At 58.7% G+C, this 15,190-nt stretch overlaps 2 protein-coding genes across 6 annotated transcripts in view, besides 4 other annotated features; both read left to right on the top strand.

The window, feature by feature from the left end:
- Positions 1 to 11,466, top strand: part of SLC12A4 (solute carrier family 12 member 4) — a 25,221-nt gene extending 13,755 nt beyond the window's left edge. For 4 of the 5 annotated variants that reach the window (NM_001145962.1, NM_005072.5, NM_001145964.2 and 1 more), the window contains 19 exons: positions 167 to 297; positions 2,515 to 2,756; positions 2,903 to 3,117; positions 3,636 to 3,800; positions 3,880 to 3,978; positions 4,229 to 4,286; positions 4,447 to 4,621; positions 5,022 to 5,140; positions 6,781 to 6,879; positions 7,152 to 7,271; positions 7,505 to 7,609; positions 7,835 to 8,003; positions 8,307 to 8,502; positions 8,600 to 8,769; positions 8,858 to 8,989; positions 9,069 to 9,176; positions 9,387 to 9,571; positions 9,720 to 9,853; positions 10,009 to 11,466. In NM_001145962.1, coding sequence (NP_001139434.1) covers positions 167 to 297; positions 2,515 to 2,756; positions 2,903 to 3,117; positions 3,636 to 3,800; positions 3,880 to 3,978; positions 4,229 to 4,286; positions 4,447 to 4,621; positions 5,022 to 5,140; positions 6,781 to 6,879; positions 7,152 to 7,271; positions 7,505 to 7,609; positions 7,835 to 8,003; positions 8,307 to 8,502; positions 8,600 to 8,769; positions 8,858 to 8,989; positions 9,069 to 9,176; positions 9,387 to 9,571; positions 9,720 to 9,853; positions 10,009 to 10,100 — 2,714 coding nt within the window. In that variant the 3' untranslated portion in view covers positions 10,101 to 11,466. The remainder of the gene's footprint in view (positions 1 to 166; positions 298 to 2,514; positions 2,757 to 2,902; positions 3,118 to 3,635; positions 3,801 to 3,879; positions 3,979 to 4,228; positions 4,287 to 4,446; positions 4,622 to 5,021; positions 5,141 to 6,780; positions 6,880 to 7,151; positions 7,272 to 7,504; positions 7,610 to 7,834; positions 8,004 to 8,306; positions 8,503 to 8,599; positions 8,770 to 8,857; positions 8,990 to 9,068; positions 9,177 to 9,386; positions 9,572 to 9,719; positions 9,854 to 10,008) is intronic. The other variant, NM_001145961.2, reaches the window with a different exon arrangement.
- LCAT (lecithin-cholesterol acyltransferase) lies at positions 10,820 to 15,190 on the top strand. The gene is made up of 6 exons (NM_000229.2): positions 10,820 to 10,992; positions 11,728 to 11,884; positions 11,964 to 12,079; positions 12,174 to 12,269; positions 12,353 to 12,577; positions 14,462 to 15,190. Exons 1-6 carry the CDS (start codon positions 10,839 to 10,841, stop codon positions 15,034 to 15,036), a joined length of 1,323 nt encoding a protein of 440 aa, NP_000220.1. The 5' UTR covers positions 10,820 to 10,838; the 3' UTR covers positions 15,037 to 15,190.
- Positions 11,689 to 12,588: an enhancer, noted in NCBI's record as "H3K4me1 hESC enhancer chr16:67976255-67977154 (GRCh37/hg19 assembly coordinates)". NCBI's record gives its function as "activates a minimal SCP1, AML or CMV promoter by ChIP-STARR-seq in naive H9 embryonic stem cells {active_cell/tissue: H9 hESC(naive)}" and the evidence as "EXISTENCE:reporter gene assay evidence [ECO:0000049][PMID:30033119]".
- Positions 12,572 to 12,621: an enhancer, noted in NCBI's record as "active region_10998". NCBI's record gives its function as "activates an Ori minimal core promoter by ATAC-STARR-seq in GM12878 lymphoblastoid cells {active_cell/tissue: GM12878}" and the evidence as "EXISTENCE:reporter gene assay evidence [ECO:0000049][PMID:35858748]".
- Positions 14,547 to 15,156: an enhancer, noted in NCBI's record as "H3K4me1 hESC enhancer chr16:67973687-67974296 (GRCh37/hg19 assembly coordinates)". NCBI's record gives its function as "activates a minimal SCP1, AML or CMV promoter by ChIP-STARR-seq in primed H9 embryonic stem cells {active_cell/tissue: H9 hESC(primed)}" and the evidence as "EXISTENCE:reporter gene assay evidence [ECO:0000049][PMID:30033119]".
- Positions 14,709 to 14,758: an enhancer, noted in NCBI's record as "active region_10997". NCBI's record gives its function as "activates an Ori minimal core promoter by ATAC-STARR-seq in GM12878 lymphoblastoid cells {active_cell/tissue: GM12878}" and the evidence as "EXISTENCE:reporter gene assay evidence [ECO:0000049][PMID:35858748]".

Here is a 15,190-nt window from a genome sequence, read left to right as displayed (position 1 = left end):
GCTTACCCACCGTGCAGCCCTGGGTAGGTCTCCCAGCCCCTCTACTCATCCACAAACAGGAAAAGCAGTCCCTGTCCCTCTGGGTGGTTGTGCAGGCTTGTCACAGGGAGACCCCTTGAAGAAGAACCAGCCTTGACCTGTGCACACTTTCATTTCTCTGCTGTAGCTGGGGGCTCCTATTTCATGATCTCTCGTTCACTGGGGCCAGAATTTGGAGGTGCTGTGGGCCTGTGCTTCTACCTGGGAACAACATTCGCAGCAGCCATGTACATCCTGGGGGCCATCGAGATCTTGCTGGTGAGTCAGGCTGAGCCCTGGCCAACTCTGGCCATGTCCAAACAGTCCCTTTGGACTCCAAACAGAAGGCTCAGGCTGTTCATCCCCACATGTCTGGCCAAGGCCTGGGTATTATAAAGTAGGAAGCCTCTTCGAGAGACAAAGACCTTTACTCAGGCTGGTCTTCCTTTCACCTCCATGCCAGTTTGGGCCAGGCAAGGCAGAGGCCTGGCTGCCTTCACCTCGGCCCTGGATGTTCCATCCACCTGGGCACCATTGCAGCCATGGCAAGGGTTCCAGGAACTGTTGTATTCAGCTCAGTGACAGATCTTGGTGGTGATGTAGGCTTCCTTCTGGGCTTGTGTGAGCTCTGGCCAGCTCTGTGTCCTCCGGGGCTCTGTGCCAGGGCACTTCAGATCCACCTTCTCCTTGTCCTTCAATCAGGGTAAGCAGCCACAGAACCCTGCTGGAGGTCGGCGCTCCCTCCACGAGCCCCATGGGAGCTCTGTCAGCCTCAGCTTCTCATTCCCCAGTGAACTGCCGTACCAGTGGGAGAAGAGGCAAGGAGCTGCGGGAGGCATGGGGTGACAGGTGCCCGCCCCTGGGGATCCAGAGGGTAGGAGATACCTGGAGGGACTGCCTGGCTGTTCTTGTCTCCAGGTCCTCTACCTGCAGCAGGACCCTGCACCTGAATCTTCTGATTTGGGGGGGCTTTGGCTTGTTTTCATTTCTCATATCCCTTCTACATTCATTATGTGGGATTTGTCCCTTCTCCTGTTTATCTATTCAGCCATGTCATTATATCTGTATGGACTTCTGGATATTTACTTTATTCTTTGGGTTGTAATCCAATACTATCATTATTTATTTTCTTGCTCAAACTGTTCCACTTTGGCTATTTAACGATTCAGGTTGGCATCTATGTTTGGATCCTTTTTGTTTGCTTGTTTTTAAGTAACAGCTTTATTAACATATAATTTACATACCATGCAATTCCCATACCAATTTATATACCATTGAAAGTGTACAATTCAATGTTTTATAGTATATTCACAGAGTTGCGCAGTCAATTCTAGAACATTTTCATCATCCCAAGAACCCCCATTAGCAGTCACTCTCCATTCCCCGCCAGCCCTGGCAACCAGGAATCTGCTTTCTGCCTTGGGATTTGCCTATTCTGGGCATCTCATATAAACAGAATCATATAATATGTGACCTTTTGTGACTGGCTTCTTTTAGGTACTCTTATTTTTTATTTTTATTTATTTATTTGTTTTGAGATGCAGTCTCACTCTGTCGCCCAAGCTGGAGTGCAGTGGCATGATCACAGCTCACTGCAATTTCCGCCTCCTGGGTTCAAGTGATTCTCCTGCCTCAGCCTCCCGAGTAGCTGGGATTACAGGCTCATGCCACCACGCCCAGCTAATTTTTTGTATTTTAGTAGAGATGAGGTTTCACCAAGTTGCCTGGGGTTGTCTCGAACTCTTGAGCTCAGGCAGTCGGCCTCCCAGAGTGCTGGGATTATAGGCATGAGCCATTGCGCCCGGCCTATTCATTTATTTTTTTGAGACAAGGTCTCACTCTGTCACCCAGACTGGAGTGCCGTGGTGTGGTCTCTACTCACTGCAACCACCACCTCCGAGACTGAAGTGATTCTCCTGCCTCAGCCTCCCGAGTAGCTGGGATTACAGGCGTGTGCCACTACTACCAGTTTTTGCACCACTAATTTTTGTATTTTTAGTAGAGATGAGGTTTCACCATGTTGGCCAGGCTGGTCTCAAACTCCTGACCTCAAGTGATCCACCGCCTCAGCCTCCCAAAGTGCTGGGATTACAGGCGTGAGCCACGGCGCTGACCTATTTTTTATTTTTTTTTGAGACGGAGTCCCCCTCTGTCACCCAGGCTGGAGTGCAGTGGTGCGATCTCTGCTCACTGCAACCTCTGCTTCCTGGATTCAGGCGATCCTCCTGCCTCAGCCTCCAGTTGCTGGGATTACAGGCACGTGCCACCACGCCCGGCTAATTTTTAGTAGAGATGGCGTTTCCCCATGTTGGCCAGGCTAGTCATGATCTCCTGACCTCAAGTGATCCCCCACCTCAGCCTCCCAAAGTGCTGGGATTACAGGCGTGAGCCACTGCGCCCGGCCTCTTTTAGGTACTCGTAAAAAGAAAACCAAAACGACAAGTTTCACTTTCCAAATAAGAAATAAAACCCTCCTTATCCATCTTCTTGTTTCAGACCTACATTGCCCCACCAGCTGCCATTTTTTACCCATCGGGTGCTCATGACACGTCGAATGCCACTTTGAACAATATGCGTGTGTATGGGACCATTTTCCTGACCTTCATGACCCTGGTGGTGTTTGTGGGGGTCAAGTATGTGAACAAATTTGCCTCGCTCTTCCTGGCCTGTGTGATCATCTCCATCCTCTCCATCTATGCTGGGGGCATAAAGTCTATATTTGACCCTCCCGTGTTTCCGTAAGTAACCCAGGAATTTATCTGGGCATTGCATGGACATCCCTCCCATGTAGCCAGCCTTTGATGCCCCAGATCCCAGAGACTGCAGGGTGGGCACAGGCAGGGGCTTTGACCTGAGCAGGTGCCGGTGCTTCTGTCCCTCACAGGGTATGCATGCTGGGCAACAGGACCCTGTCCCGGGACCAGTTTGACATCTGTGCCAAGACAGCTGTAGTGGACAATGAGACAGTGGCCACCCAGCTATGGAGTTTCTTCTGCCACAGCCCCAACCTTACGACCGACTCCTGTGACCCCTACTTCATGCTCAACAATGTGACCGAGATCCCTGGCATCCCCGGGGCAGCTGCTGGTGTGCTCCAGGGTGGGTCCTCCCTCCCGTCGTCTTGCTCTTGAGCCCACAGGCTGAGCAGGGGCACAGAGCACAGAGCTGTCCTTGTGTGGCCAGCTTGGGAACGGGGGCAGGACTGGCCGCCTTCCCAGCCCCCCAGTGTCCTCCCAGCCTGGCTCCTGGCAGCCGAGTTTGGAGTGAGTGGAGCCTGTCTGGCCAGCGTCCAAGGCCTGCAGCAGCCTGTCTTCCCCAGCCACCAGCCCCTGACACTGCCTGGGGATGTTCCCACAGGATCCATAAAGGCCTCTGTGGAAGGCGGGCAGTGGCGGGCTCTGGGTGACGGTGGTTCAGCCACCTTTGTCTGTCGACTTCTAGCTGGGCAGCTCCTTCTCTGTGGTCAGGGTAGCCCTGTGGCTGACGCTGCAGTCATTGGGCTGAAGCTGTTCCCTGAGTCCCCAAAGTTGCCCTGCATCTGCGCCTCTGGCTAGGCTGCCCCAAACTACCTGGGGTAGTGGGGGGCAGCTGTGGTGGTGACACAGCTACCCCTGCAGAAAACCTGTGGAGCGCCTACCTGGAGAAGGGTGACATCGTGGAGAAGCATGGGCTGCCCTCCGCAGATGCCCCGAGCCTGAAGGAGAGCCTGCCTCTGTACGTGGTCGCTGACATCGCCACATCCTTCACCGTGCTGGTCGGCATCTTCTTCCCTTCTGTAACAGGTGAGCCCTGCCTGCCTACCCACCCAGCCCTGTCCCCAATCCCGGGGAGCCCCTGAGGGAGTCTCATCTGTTTTTGGAGGCATCATGGCTGGCTCAAACCGCTCTGGGGACCTTCGTGACGCCCAGAAGTCTATCCCTGTGGGGACCATTCTGGCCATCATTACAACTTCCCTCGTGTGTATCCTTTCCCAGGCCTGGGGCAGGTGGGGCAGAGGACGGGAAGCGCTTGGCCTGTGTACGTTGCCAGGTCACATGCACAGACACCCCACACACTCATATATAGCTCCCCTTCTCATGCACACATGCACATACACACCACGAGACTCCCAGCTGTAGGTGTCCTGGTAGTCTGGCTGGGGTGGGGGCACGTGGTACTATTCAGGGACAGTGGGGTGGCAGAGGCCGAGTTTTCCTTGACGCCGCCGCAGACTTCAGCAGTGTGGTTCTCTTTGGTGCCTGCATTGAGGGTGTGGTTCTCCGGGACAAGTGAGTGAGCTGGGCCCCCCTCTTTAGCAGCGGCTGGGCTTTGGCCTGCCCTCACACCAGCTCCCAACCCCGTGGGTGGTCCTAAGCCTGCTGGCTGCCTTTGGTGGTCTGTGCCATCCTTCCGGACCCCTGACATCCCTCACTCTGGTGGCCCCTGCAGGTATGGCGATGGTGTCAGCAGGAACTTGGTGGTGGGCACACTGGCCTGGCCTTCACCCTGGGTCATCGTCATCGGCTCCTTCTTTTCAACGTGTGGCGCTGGCCTCCAGAGCCTCACAGGGGCACCACGCCTATTGCAGGCCATTGCCAAGGACAACATCATCCCCTTCCTCCGGGTGAGCCCCTCTGCACTCCCCCATGGCCTGGCTGCTCCCAGGCCCTCGCCCGGCTGGGGAGAGAGATAGGGAACACAGATGCAGCACGTCCTGCCCTTATTGGCCCCCGGGGCCAGGCGGCCATCCATGAGGAGCTACTGAGAAGTGCCCTGGGCCTGGCACTCACCTGGGCCTGGAGCTGCCTGGACCCAGAATCTTCATGGCCTGTTTAGGGCTCATCCAAAGGAGAGAGGCCTGGTGAGGTGGAATCAGGGAGACTGGTGACACCCATAGGGATAGACACAGGGGCGGCCTGAGCCCCCAAGGCGGGCCCTGGGGGTGAGGGAGGCCAGGCTGGGGTCTGGGGCCCAAGGTGTGGAATGGGGGTGACAGGACCCAGCTTCCTTCCTGGTGCACACAGGTGTTTGGCCACGGGAAGGTGAATGGTGAACCCACATGGGCACTCCTCCTGACGGCACTCATCGCCGAGCTGGGCATCCTCATCGCCTCCCTCGACATGGTGGCCCCCATCTTATCCATGTGAGCTGGGGCCGGGCAGGGCAGGGGGATGGGGAAAGGCTTCCTGAACCCCAGCACCTCCCCGTGGCTGCGTCTGGTGTTGGAGGTCCAGCTGGGAGATGTGGCAGGCTGCATGGGGAGATGTGGCCTGACAGGGCTCAGCCCACCCCTGCATTTAGGAGCAAGCCTGGCACCTATGCCAAAGCTATAAGGTGACCAATATGTCCACACCTCCCTGAGGCCCCCAGAGCAGGTGGCCGGCAGACCTTCCCACTGGACAGGGCAACCACCGCGTCCCTCATGCCTCCATGAAGCCACTGCTGCCCCTTCCATCTGTTAGTTTGTTTTTTGGTTTTTGTTTTTTTTTTTTGAGACAGAGTCTCACTCTCTCACCCAGGCTGGAGTGCAATGGCATGATCTTGGCTCACTGCAATCTCCGCCTCCTGGGTTCAAGCAATTCTCCTGCCTCAGCCTCCTGAGTAGCTGGGATTACAGAAATGCACCACCACGCCCAGCTAATTTTTTGTATTTTTAGTAGAGATGGCGTTTTACCATCTTGGCCAGGCTGGTGTCGAACTCCTGACGTCAGATGATCCACCTGGCTCGGCCTCCCAAAGTGCTGGGATTACAGGCGTGAGCCACCATGCCCAACCCATCCATTTTCAAAGTCATTTGCTTTTAACATTCTGGAATCAGCCAGGCAAATCTGCGTGCCAGTGCCTTGCAGGGAGTGGCCAGCATGTGGTGACTCCCAGGGACCCCGAGGCAGCGCTTGTTTGGTTGACTCTGTCCAGGCTGGGGTCCTCGCCCACCCTGCTCCGTGGCTGACGCTCCTTCTTGCTTGTGCGGTTATGAAAGGCCTCCTCTTCCCTGCCCACTCAGCCTGCAGACTTGACAGGGGCCCTGTACCCCTGAGCAGGCTCCATCCCAGCTACAGCCAGGCCTGCTGGAGCCAGCACCCTCTTGTCCACCCCCCCACACCCCTTCCTCTCACCCAAGAGCACACCTGAAACTGTTTTGCCACAGCCATCTTGGGTGGTGACCCCCCTTGTGCCCAAATCAGAGGCTACATCTCAGCCTTTATCTCGGGCCTCCTGCTGGGAGCCCCTGCCCCCTGGCATGCCCTGTGTGGGTCCTCCTGCCTTCCTGCGCACCCGTCCTCGGGTGCCTTCCTGGAGGGCTCATGCAGCTGGCCCTGCCCATGCGTGGGACTCCCACGCCCACCGCAGTGACTCTTAAGTATCTCTGACTGGTTGCATTCAAATGGTCCAGCTTATCTTCCATCCTCCCCTTCATGCATGGCAGCCTCTCATCCAGCTGGTCACTCAGGCCAGAGGCCTGAATGTGGCCTAGAGTCTCCAGGCACTGAGCTCTTCCTGCTGCCCCTGCACCACCCTCTTCAGCTCTGCCCTGTTACTCCCCTTCCTACCTCCTCCAACAGCAAACCCTTGCCCATCCTCTGCGATCTGGCTCCGAGGACTCCTCCACAGTAGTCTCATTGCCTCAGGCCATGGAGGTGGCAGCAATGAGGTTGAGAAGACCTTGCTGAGCCATGCAGGGCAGGGCCGGGCCACGCCCCGTTTCTGGGCCAGGCCCAGCCTGACATCAGGTCCCCAGCTGCCGAGGAGGCTGCTCTTCGCCAACCGCCCTCTGTGCCGCAGGTTCTTTCTGATGTGCTACCTGTTCGTGAACCTCGCCTGTGCGGTGCAGACACTCCTGAGGACCCCCAACTGGCGGCCCCGGTTCAAGTACTATCACTGGTGAGCCATGCCTCTGACACGGGAGACCCTGGGGAGGCCAGGAGCCTCATTCTGGGTGAGGCTTGGGTTTCCTGGGTAGGGAGCTCTTGAAACACTGTGGGGAGGGAGATTATAGGGCTGCGGGGGACTGGACCTAGGTCTTACACCCAGTGACCTGACCACCCACCTGGGACCTCCCACCCGGGACCTGACAGGGCTACCAGGGCATGGGCCAGGCTGTGGCCAGGGGTCCTCCTGGTCCTGCCCTGACTCTGCCCTCCCCTCTCGTCCAGGGCGCTGTCCTTCCTGGGCATGAGTCTCTGCCTGGCCCTTATGTTTGTCTCCTCCTGGTACTATGCCCTGGTGGCCATGCTCATCGCCGGCATGATCTACAAATACATCGAGTACCAAGGGTGAGTGAGCACTGCCACCTGGCCTCTGCCAGCTGAGGGGGCCCGGCCGAGCAGGCAGGGTGGTCTGGCATTGGGGTGGGCAGGGAGCTGGGCCACCGTGGGTGCCAGGACTGGGGACTGTAACTCAGGACCCCTGGGTGGTCTTGAGGGGCAGAACCCCTCCACCTCGCATCCACATAGACAGAACCCCCTGGGCGGCACCAGGGGCTCACCAGCTGTGGTGGAATCTGCAGGGCTGAGAAGGAGTGGGGTGACGGGATCCGAGGCCTGTCCCTGAGCGCTGCCCGCTACGCGCTGTTGCGGCTGGAGGAGGGGCCTCCTCACACCAAGAACTGGCGGTGAGTTCCCGCCAGACCCTGGCCAGGGCGCAGAGGTTCTTAGGGGTCGCTGTCGGGGTCAGAGGGTCGAGAGGTGCCGGCTCCCCATCCTGGGGCTGCCCGGGGCACCCTCCTGGGCCATGCTACCCAAACCTGCAGGGACCACGACCCGAGAAGGGAAGAAGAGGAGGGGCTCCCTAGAACGGCCGGCCCTGGTCTCAGGCTCCCCCCACCCGGCCACTGCAGGCCGCAGCTGCTGGTGCTGCTGAAGCTGGACGAGGACCTCCACGTGAAGTACCCGCGGCTCCTCACCTTCGCCTCCCAGCTCAAGGCTGGCAAGGGCCTGACCATTGTTGGTTCTGTCATCCAGGGGAGCTTCTTGGAGAGCTATGGCGAGGCTCAGGCCGCCGAGCAGGTACTTGCTTTGGGGAGGGAGAGCTGAGCCAGACTACAGGGGTCTGGACTGCAGCTGGCACGGAGGGGAGGGCCCAGTCTTGGCCAGGGTGGCCAGCCAGGCAGCCAGCACTGCTGCCACCTGAGAGCTGGCACAAGGGGGAGCCAGCAGTCCCATCTTGAAAACTTGGCCTCTGGGTAGGCAGCTTGTTGCCCCCAGGCCCTCCTCCACCCAAAAGTCGTTTTGTTCCCGAGGGGCCTTGGGAGGGAGCCCAGAGGCAGGAAGCTGATGGCCTCCCATTGGCCCTGGGTGTGTTCCCCACAGACCATCAAGAACATGATGGAAATTGAGAAGGTGAAGGGCTTCTGCCAGGTGGTGGTGGCCAGCAAGGTGCGGGAGGGGCTGGCCCACCTCATCCAGTCCTGTGGCCTGGGAGGCATGCGGCATAACTCCGTGGTGCTGGGCTGGCCCTACGGCTGGCGACAGAGCGAGGACCCCCGTGCCTGGAAGACCTTCATTGGTGTGTGAAGGCCTGGGGCCTGGTGGGCAGGGGTGAAGTGAGGTGGCAGTGGGCGGAGGGCCACAGACTGGTGGTCAGCCGTGCTCCTCCTCCCCAGACACCGTGCGCTGCACTACGGCTGCCCACCTGGCCCTGCTCGTGCCCAAGAACATCGCCTTCTACCCCAGCAACCACGAGCGCTACCTGGAGGGCCACATAGACGTGTGGTGGATCGTGCACGATGGTGGCATGCTCATGCTTCTGCCCTTCCTGCTGCGCCAGCATAAGGTAGACCAGGGGGTGGGTGCAGATGAGAGGGGCTAGGCCCTTGGAGGAGCAGCTGTGACCAAACCGCCCACCTGGTCCCTTGCCTCAGGTCTGGAGGAAGTGCCGGATGCGCATCTTCACAGTGGCCCAGATGGATGACAACAGCATCCAGATGAAGAAGGACCTGGCTGTCTTTCTGTACCATCTGCGCCTTGAGGCCGAGGTGGAGGTGGTGGAGATGGTGAGCCCTCTGCCCTGCCCTGGCCCCGTGGATACCATGTCCCGTGCAGCTGGGTCCTCACGGCCAACCCTGTCCCCAGCATAACAGTGACATCTCTGCATACACCTACGAGCGGACGCTGATGATGGAGCAGCGGTCGCAGATGCTGCGGCAGATGAGACTGACCAAGACTGAGCGGGAGCGAGAAGTCAGTGCCCTTTGTGGTTCACGCCAGGGCGGGTGGCAGGGTCAGGCCTTTGGAGACCGCATCGGTGGGTGCGGAGGAATCAGAATGACTCACCGCAGCCCTACCCAAGCTAGTGCTCATTTCCCGGAGGCAAGGTGGTCACATTGGGCCAGACAGGCCCCATCCCCCTTTTCCTATGGGACCAAGGCTATCTCCTGCAATTGTCCTCAGGCCCAGCTGGTCAAGGATCGGCACTCGGCCCTGCGGCTGGAGAGCCTGTACTCGGACGAGGAAGATGAGTCTGCAGTGGGGGCTGACAAGATCCAGATGACGTGGACCAGGGACAAGTACATGACTGAGACCTGGGACCCCAGCCATGCCCCTGACAATTTCCGGGAGCTGGTGCACATTAAGCCGTGAGTGCAGCAAAAACAGCCCCAGCGGCACTGGAATCTAGGGGTGGAGGTGGGGTGGGGCAGACAAGTAGTGTTAGATGGGCCAGGGGTGGGGACCCTCCTTGCAGGATGGCTCATGGCGACCTGTGACTGGCTACACTACGTGTAGGGACCAATCCAATGTGCGGCGCATGCACACTGCTGTGAAGCTCAATGAAGTCATTGTCACGCGCTCCCACGACGCCCGCCTGGTTCTCCTAAACATGCCTGGCCCACCCAGGAACAGTGAGGGCGACGAGAACTGTATCCCTTTGTGGAGAGGCAGGCAGTTGGGAGGTGGATAGCATGGGAGGTCAAGCCAGCGGCTTCTCTCCTGGGCACCCCTGGGTGGGCATGGCCCAGGTGGCCCGGGTTGCCCGTTGATTCTGTTGTTGCCTCCTTGACTTGAGGCCCTGCAGACATGGAGTTCCTCGAGGTGCTGACCGAGGGCCTTGAGCGGGTGCTGTTGGTGCGCGGTGGTGGCCGTGAAGTCATCACCATCTACTCCTGAGCCCAGTGTCATCTTGTGGCCTGGAGTCGAGGTCTTGGCCAGGACATAACAAGCTGTGGTCTGGGGTAACAGCCTCTTCCCAGCACCCACCTGCCAGCCCTGCTTGCCTGGCCCTGTCCTGGACCCAGCTTTGCTAGGTCTCCTTGGAAACCAGGCCTGGGCCTCAAAATGGAGATGGATCCCAGGTCTTGTGGGACCCTGGGATGTTTGGGGACTTTACTATCTAGCACCCCAGTAGGCCTGTCCTGGCCAGAGAAGACTGGTAGGGGCCGAGTGGGGTTTGAAGGCAGCCGGCCCGGCCCAGCCCAGGAGCGCTATTTATTGCATATTTATTGTTTGGATGTCACCATCAGAGACGAAGGGAAGGGTAGCCAGGGAGGGAGTCCAGCCCAGCTGCCTGCAGGAAGATCTGGCTCAGTCTACTATGGGCAGGGCCCCCCACCAAGCTGAGCCGAATGGAGACAGCTGAGCTGAGGCCTGACTTTTTCAATAAAACATTGTGTAGTTCTGGGCCTCCTGCTGCCCCGGCTCTGTTTCCCCTGGCGCCAAGAGAAGAAGGCGGAACTGAACCCAGGCCCAGAGCCGGCTCCCTGAGGCTGTGCCCCTTTCCGGCAATCTCTGGCCACAACCCCCACTGGCCAGGCCGTCCCTCCCACTGGCCCTAGGGCCCCTCCCACTCCCACACCAGATAAGGACAGCCCAGTGCCGCTTTCTCTGGCAGTAGGCACCAGGGCTGGAATGGGGCCGCCCGGCTCCCCATGGCAGTGGGTGACGCTGCTGCTGGGGCTGCTGCTCCCTCCTGCCGCCCCCTTCTGGCTCCTCAATGTGCTCTTCCCCCCGCACACCACGCCCAAGGCTGAGCTCAGTAACCACACACGGCCCGTCATCCTCGGTAAGCCCCCACCAGGCCCCTGATGCACCACGCCAGACCCTGGGGAGCCTGGGCCCCAGCCCCTGGCAGCTGACCTGGCCAAAGCCCTTCTGCCCTGCATAAGCCCCGACATAAGTACCTGCCCTGGTGTGGGGAGGGGCCAAAAGCTTGTCCCTTAGAGGAATGACGTCCCTTCTCCCACCACACTGTGACTCTCAGTTGTCTAACCCAGGGGGGGCGGAGTGGGGGACGGGGTGTGCCTGAGGTCTTGGCTGGGGCATCACAAGCTGTGGTCAGTCACAGCCACACCAGACTCTGGGCCAAGCCCCACCACTCCTTCCTTGGCCCCCACCCACCAAGGACAAGATGCCCAGCCCAGGATCGGTGAGCAGGAGAGGCCCATCCATGCCCGGCCCCTATTAGGCCCAGCCCCCATGCCCCCAGACCTATCTGTTCCCACCTTGGACTTTGGCAATAAAGGAGCGCCAGACTGGGTGTTTGCTCTGCAGAGGCAGGGGTCAGCGGCCTTGGCCTCAGCACCTCAGCGCCTTCCCTTCCTCAGGGAAGCCTGGGCTTTGGCTACTGGGGGGACAGCAGGGAGAGGGGGTGTAAGCAGGGGAGGGTAAGTGTGCTTTGTACCTGGGGGTTGAGGGTATGGGAGGTGGGGGGTGGGTCTGGTCACTGCAGCATCTGGGGTGACGGGGGTAAGGGTCACGGGGGGAATCCAGAGTCCAGAGTGAGGGCTGCTGCTCACAGTGCCCGGCTGCCTGGGGAATCAGCTAGAAGCCAAGCTGGACAAACCAGATGTGGTGAACTGGATGTGCTACCGCAAGACAGAGGACTTCTTCACCATCTGGCTGGATCTCAACATGTTCCTACCCCTTGGGGTAGACTGCTGGATCGATAACACCAGGTACAGCCATGTGCTCCACCCTAGCCCCAACACGCTGCCCCTTGGCTACTGGCTGCTGAGTGGCACCCCCGCCCCGCAGGGTTGTCTACAACCGGAGCTCTGGGCTCGTGTCCAACGCCCCTGGTGTCCAGATCCGCGTCCCTGGCTTTGGCAAGACCTACTCTGTGGAGTACCTGGACAGCAGCAAGCTGGCAGGTTTGTGTCAGAGGGCAGGGCTGGGGCTCCAGGCCTGGGTGCTGGCCCACAGCAGGCATGGCCCAAGCCCCCGGTGCTGCTGGTCCCCCCACAGGGTACCTGCACACACTGGTGCAGAACCTGGTCAACAATGGCTACGTGCGGGACGAGACTGTGCGCGCCGCCCCCTATGACTGGCGGCTGGAGCCCGGTGAGTGTCTCTGCGGATGACCGGCTTGGGGTGGGGCAGGTGCCCCAGACCCCAGCTGCCCTGACCCCTTCCACCCGCTGCAGGCCAGCAGGAGGAGTACTACCGCAAGCTCGCAGGGCTGGTGGAGGAGATGCACGCTGCCTATGGGAAGCCTGTCTTCCTCATTGGCCACAGCCTCGGCTGTCTACACTTGCTCTATTTCCTGCTGCGCCAGCCCCAGGCCTGGAAGGACCGCTTTATTGATGGCTTCATCTCTCTTGGGGCTCCCTGGGGTGGCTCCATCAAGCCCATGCTGGTCTTGGCCTCAGGTGAGAAGGCCTCGAACACTTAGGTCCAGCGATGGGTGAGACCAAGCTGATCCTGGGCCTGCCTTCATTGCGGCTCCTGCTCACAGTGGCCTCTAGGGGTGCTATCTACCACTCCTGGGCTGGCATGCTTGCTGTCACTGGCCCCCAGAGCAGTGACCCTGGCCTGAGCAATTAGGGTGGCTCCTTCCAGAGTCTGTGTCAGTGATGGCAAAGGGGCAGTGAACACAGAAAGTGAATCCCAGCTATCTGCTCCCAGGGTTTGTTCTTGTAGCCCCAGAGCCTGCCTGCCCAGCCCTTGCCTGCCTTCCACTTGCTCGCAGGAGTGCCTTTGCCCAGGGATGTGCTTCACTGAGGATGGATCTGCCAGAGCTAGGGCCAGACCCCCCGAGGCCCCACCTGCTCTTCCCTAGGGAGTGGCACCAGGGCCCAGCACTGACACAGCTACCACCTACTCCCCACCCCCTGTACCCTGGGAGCTGGTCTGGAGAGAGAAACACAGTCTGGACAAGAGAAACGCTCATCAGACACCACCAATAAACATCAAACAGACACCATCTTGTTTCCCCCTTTCTGGAGCACAACTCTGTGGCCCCCATTGCTGCATAAGCCACACAAGGAGCAGAAAGACACATGCCCGAGGGAGGACAGCCAGCACCGCCCCCACCATCCCCACACATCCTGGGCCTCACCCACCATCCCCACACACCCTGGTCCTCAGGAAGCCCCGCCTACTTTTTTTTTTCTTTTTCAGACAGGGTCATTCTGTCGCCCAGGCTGGAGTGCAGTGGCGTGATCATAGCCGCAGTCTCAATCTCCCTGGCCCAAGCAATCCTCCTGCCTCAGCCTCCTGGTTAGCTGAGACTATAGGCACACAACACCACACCTAATTTATTTTTGTTTTTTAGTAGAGATGAGGTCTTGCTATGTTGCCCAGGCTGGTCTCAAACTCTTCACCTTAAGTGATCTTCCTGCCTCAGCCTCCCGAAGTGCTGGGATTACAGGCGTGAGCTACTGTGCTGGGCCTTTTAAAAAATGTTTATTTGTTTATTTATGTATTTTGAGATGGAGTCTCGCTCTGTTTCCCAGGCTGGAGTGCAGTAGTGCAATCTCCACTCACTGCAACCTCCATCTCCCCAGTTCAAGTGATTCTTCTGCCTCAGCCTCCCTAGTAGCTAGGATCACAGGCATGTGCCACCACGCCTGGCTAATTTTTATATTTTTAGTAGAGATTAGGTTTCCCCATGTTGGCCAGGCTGGTCTCGAACTCCTGACCTTAAGTCATCTGCCTGCCTCGGCCTCCCAAAGTGCTAGGATTACAGGTGTGAGCCACCGTACCCGGCCCTATTTATTTATTTTTTAAGCTGGAATCTCACTGTGTCACCCAGGCTACAGTGCAGTGGTGCGATCATAGTTTACTGTAACCTCAAATTCCTAGGCTCAAGCAATCTTCCTGCCTTTGCCTCCTGAGTAGCTAGGACTAGAGGTGCACTCCACTAAGCCCAGCTGATTTTTTTTTTTTTTTTTTTTGTAGAGACAGGGTCTCACTGCATTGCCTAGTCTGGTCACGGACTCCTGGCCTCAAGTGATCCTCCTGCCTCAGCCTCCCAAAGTGTTGGGATTACAGGGGTGAGCCATGGTGCCTGTCCCTGCCATCCTTTTGAAGCCCTACAGCTCCACCCAACAGAGGTCTTATCAGGGCTTCTCATTGAGTAAGCTGACACTGAGCATCATTGAATATCAGGCCTGCTCAAGCCTGTGGCTTAGAGTCTGTGTCTAGATTGGGCAGGGACAAGATTGAGCATCTGGCTGAGCCTACACTCAGCAGGTTGTGGGCCAGGGGTAGCCAGGCCTGGCTCCCTGTCCCACCTTGCTCCATATCCACAGGTGACAACCAGGGCATCCCCATCATGTCCAGCATCAAGCTGAAAGAGGAGCAGCGCATAACCACCACCTCCCCCTGGATGTTTCCCTCTCGCATGGCGTGGCCTGAGGACCACGTGTTCATTTCCACACCCAGCTTCAACTACACAGGCCGTGACTTCCAACGCTTCTTTGCAGACCTGCACTTTGAGGAAGGCTGGTACATGTGGCTGCAGTCACGTGACCTCCTGGCAGGACTCCCAGCACCTGGTGTGGAAGTATACTGTCTTTACGGCGTGGGCCTGCCCACGCCCCGCACCTACATCTACGACCACGGCTTCCCCTACACGGACCCTGTGGGTGTGCTCTATGAGGATGGTGATGACACGGTGGCGACCCGCAGCACCGAGCTCTGTGGCCTGTGGCAGGGCCGCCAGCCACAGCCTGTGCACCTGCTGCCCCTGCACGGGATACAGCATCTCAACATGGTCTTCAGCAACCTGACCCTGGAGCACATCAATGCCATCCTGCTGGGTGCCTACCGCCAGGGTCCCCCTGCATCCCCGACTGCCAGCCCAGAGCCCCCGCCTCCTGAATAAAGACCTTCCTTTGCTACCGTAAGCCCTGATGGCTATGTTTCAGGTTGAAGGGAGGCACTAGAGTCCCACACTAGGTTTCACTCCTCACCAGCCACAGGCTCAGTGCTGTGTGCAGTGAGGCAAGATGGGCTCTGCTGAGGCCTGGGACTGAGCT

This window comes from Homo sapiens, chromosome 16 (assembly GCF_000001405.40).
Source record: "Homo sapiens chromosome 16, GRCh38.p14 Primary Assembly".
NCBI classification, from domain to species: Eukaryota; Metazoa; Chordata; class Mammalia; order Primates; family Hominidae; genus Homo; species Homo sapiens.
This window is presented reverse-complemented; position numbering and strand designations above follow the sequence as displayed.

Coding starts and splice junctions, on each gene's coding strand:
- LCAT (NM_000229.2), top strand. CDS start 10,839: ATGGGGCCGCCCGGCTCCCCATGGCAGTGGGTGACGCTGCTGCTGGGG. Junction 12,080..12,173: donor GGACAGCAGCAAGCTGGCAG/GTTTGTGTCAGA, acceptor GTCCCCCCACAG/GGTACCTGCACACACTGGTG. Junction 12,578..14,461: donor CATGCTGGTCTTGGCCTCAG/GTGAGAAGGCCT, acceptor CCATATCCACAG/GTGACAACCAGGGCATCCCC.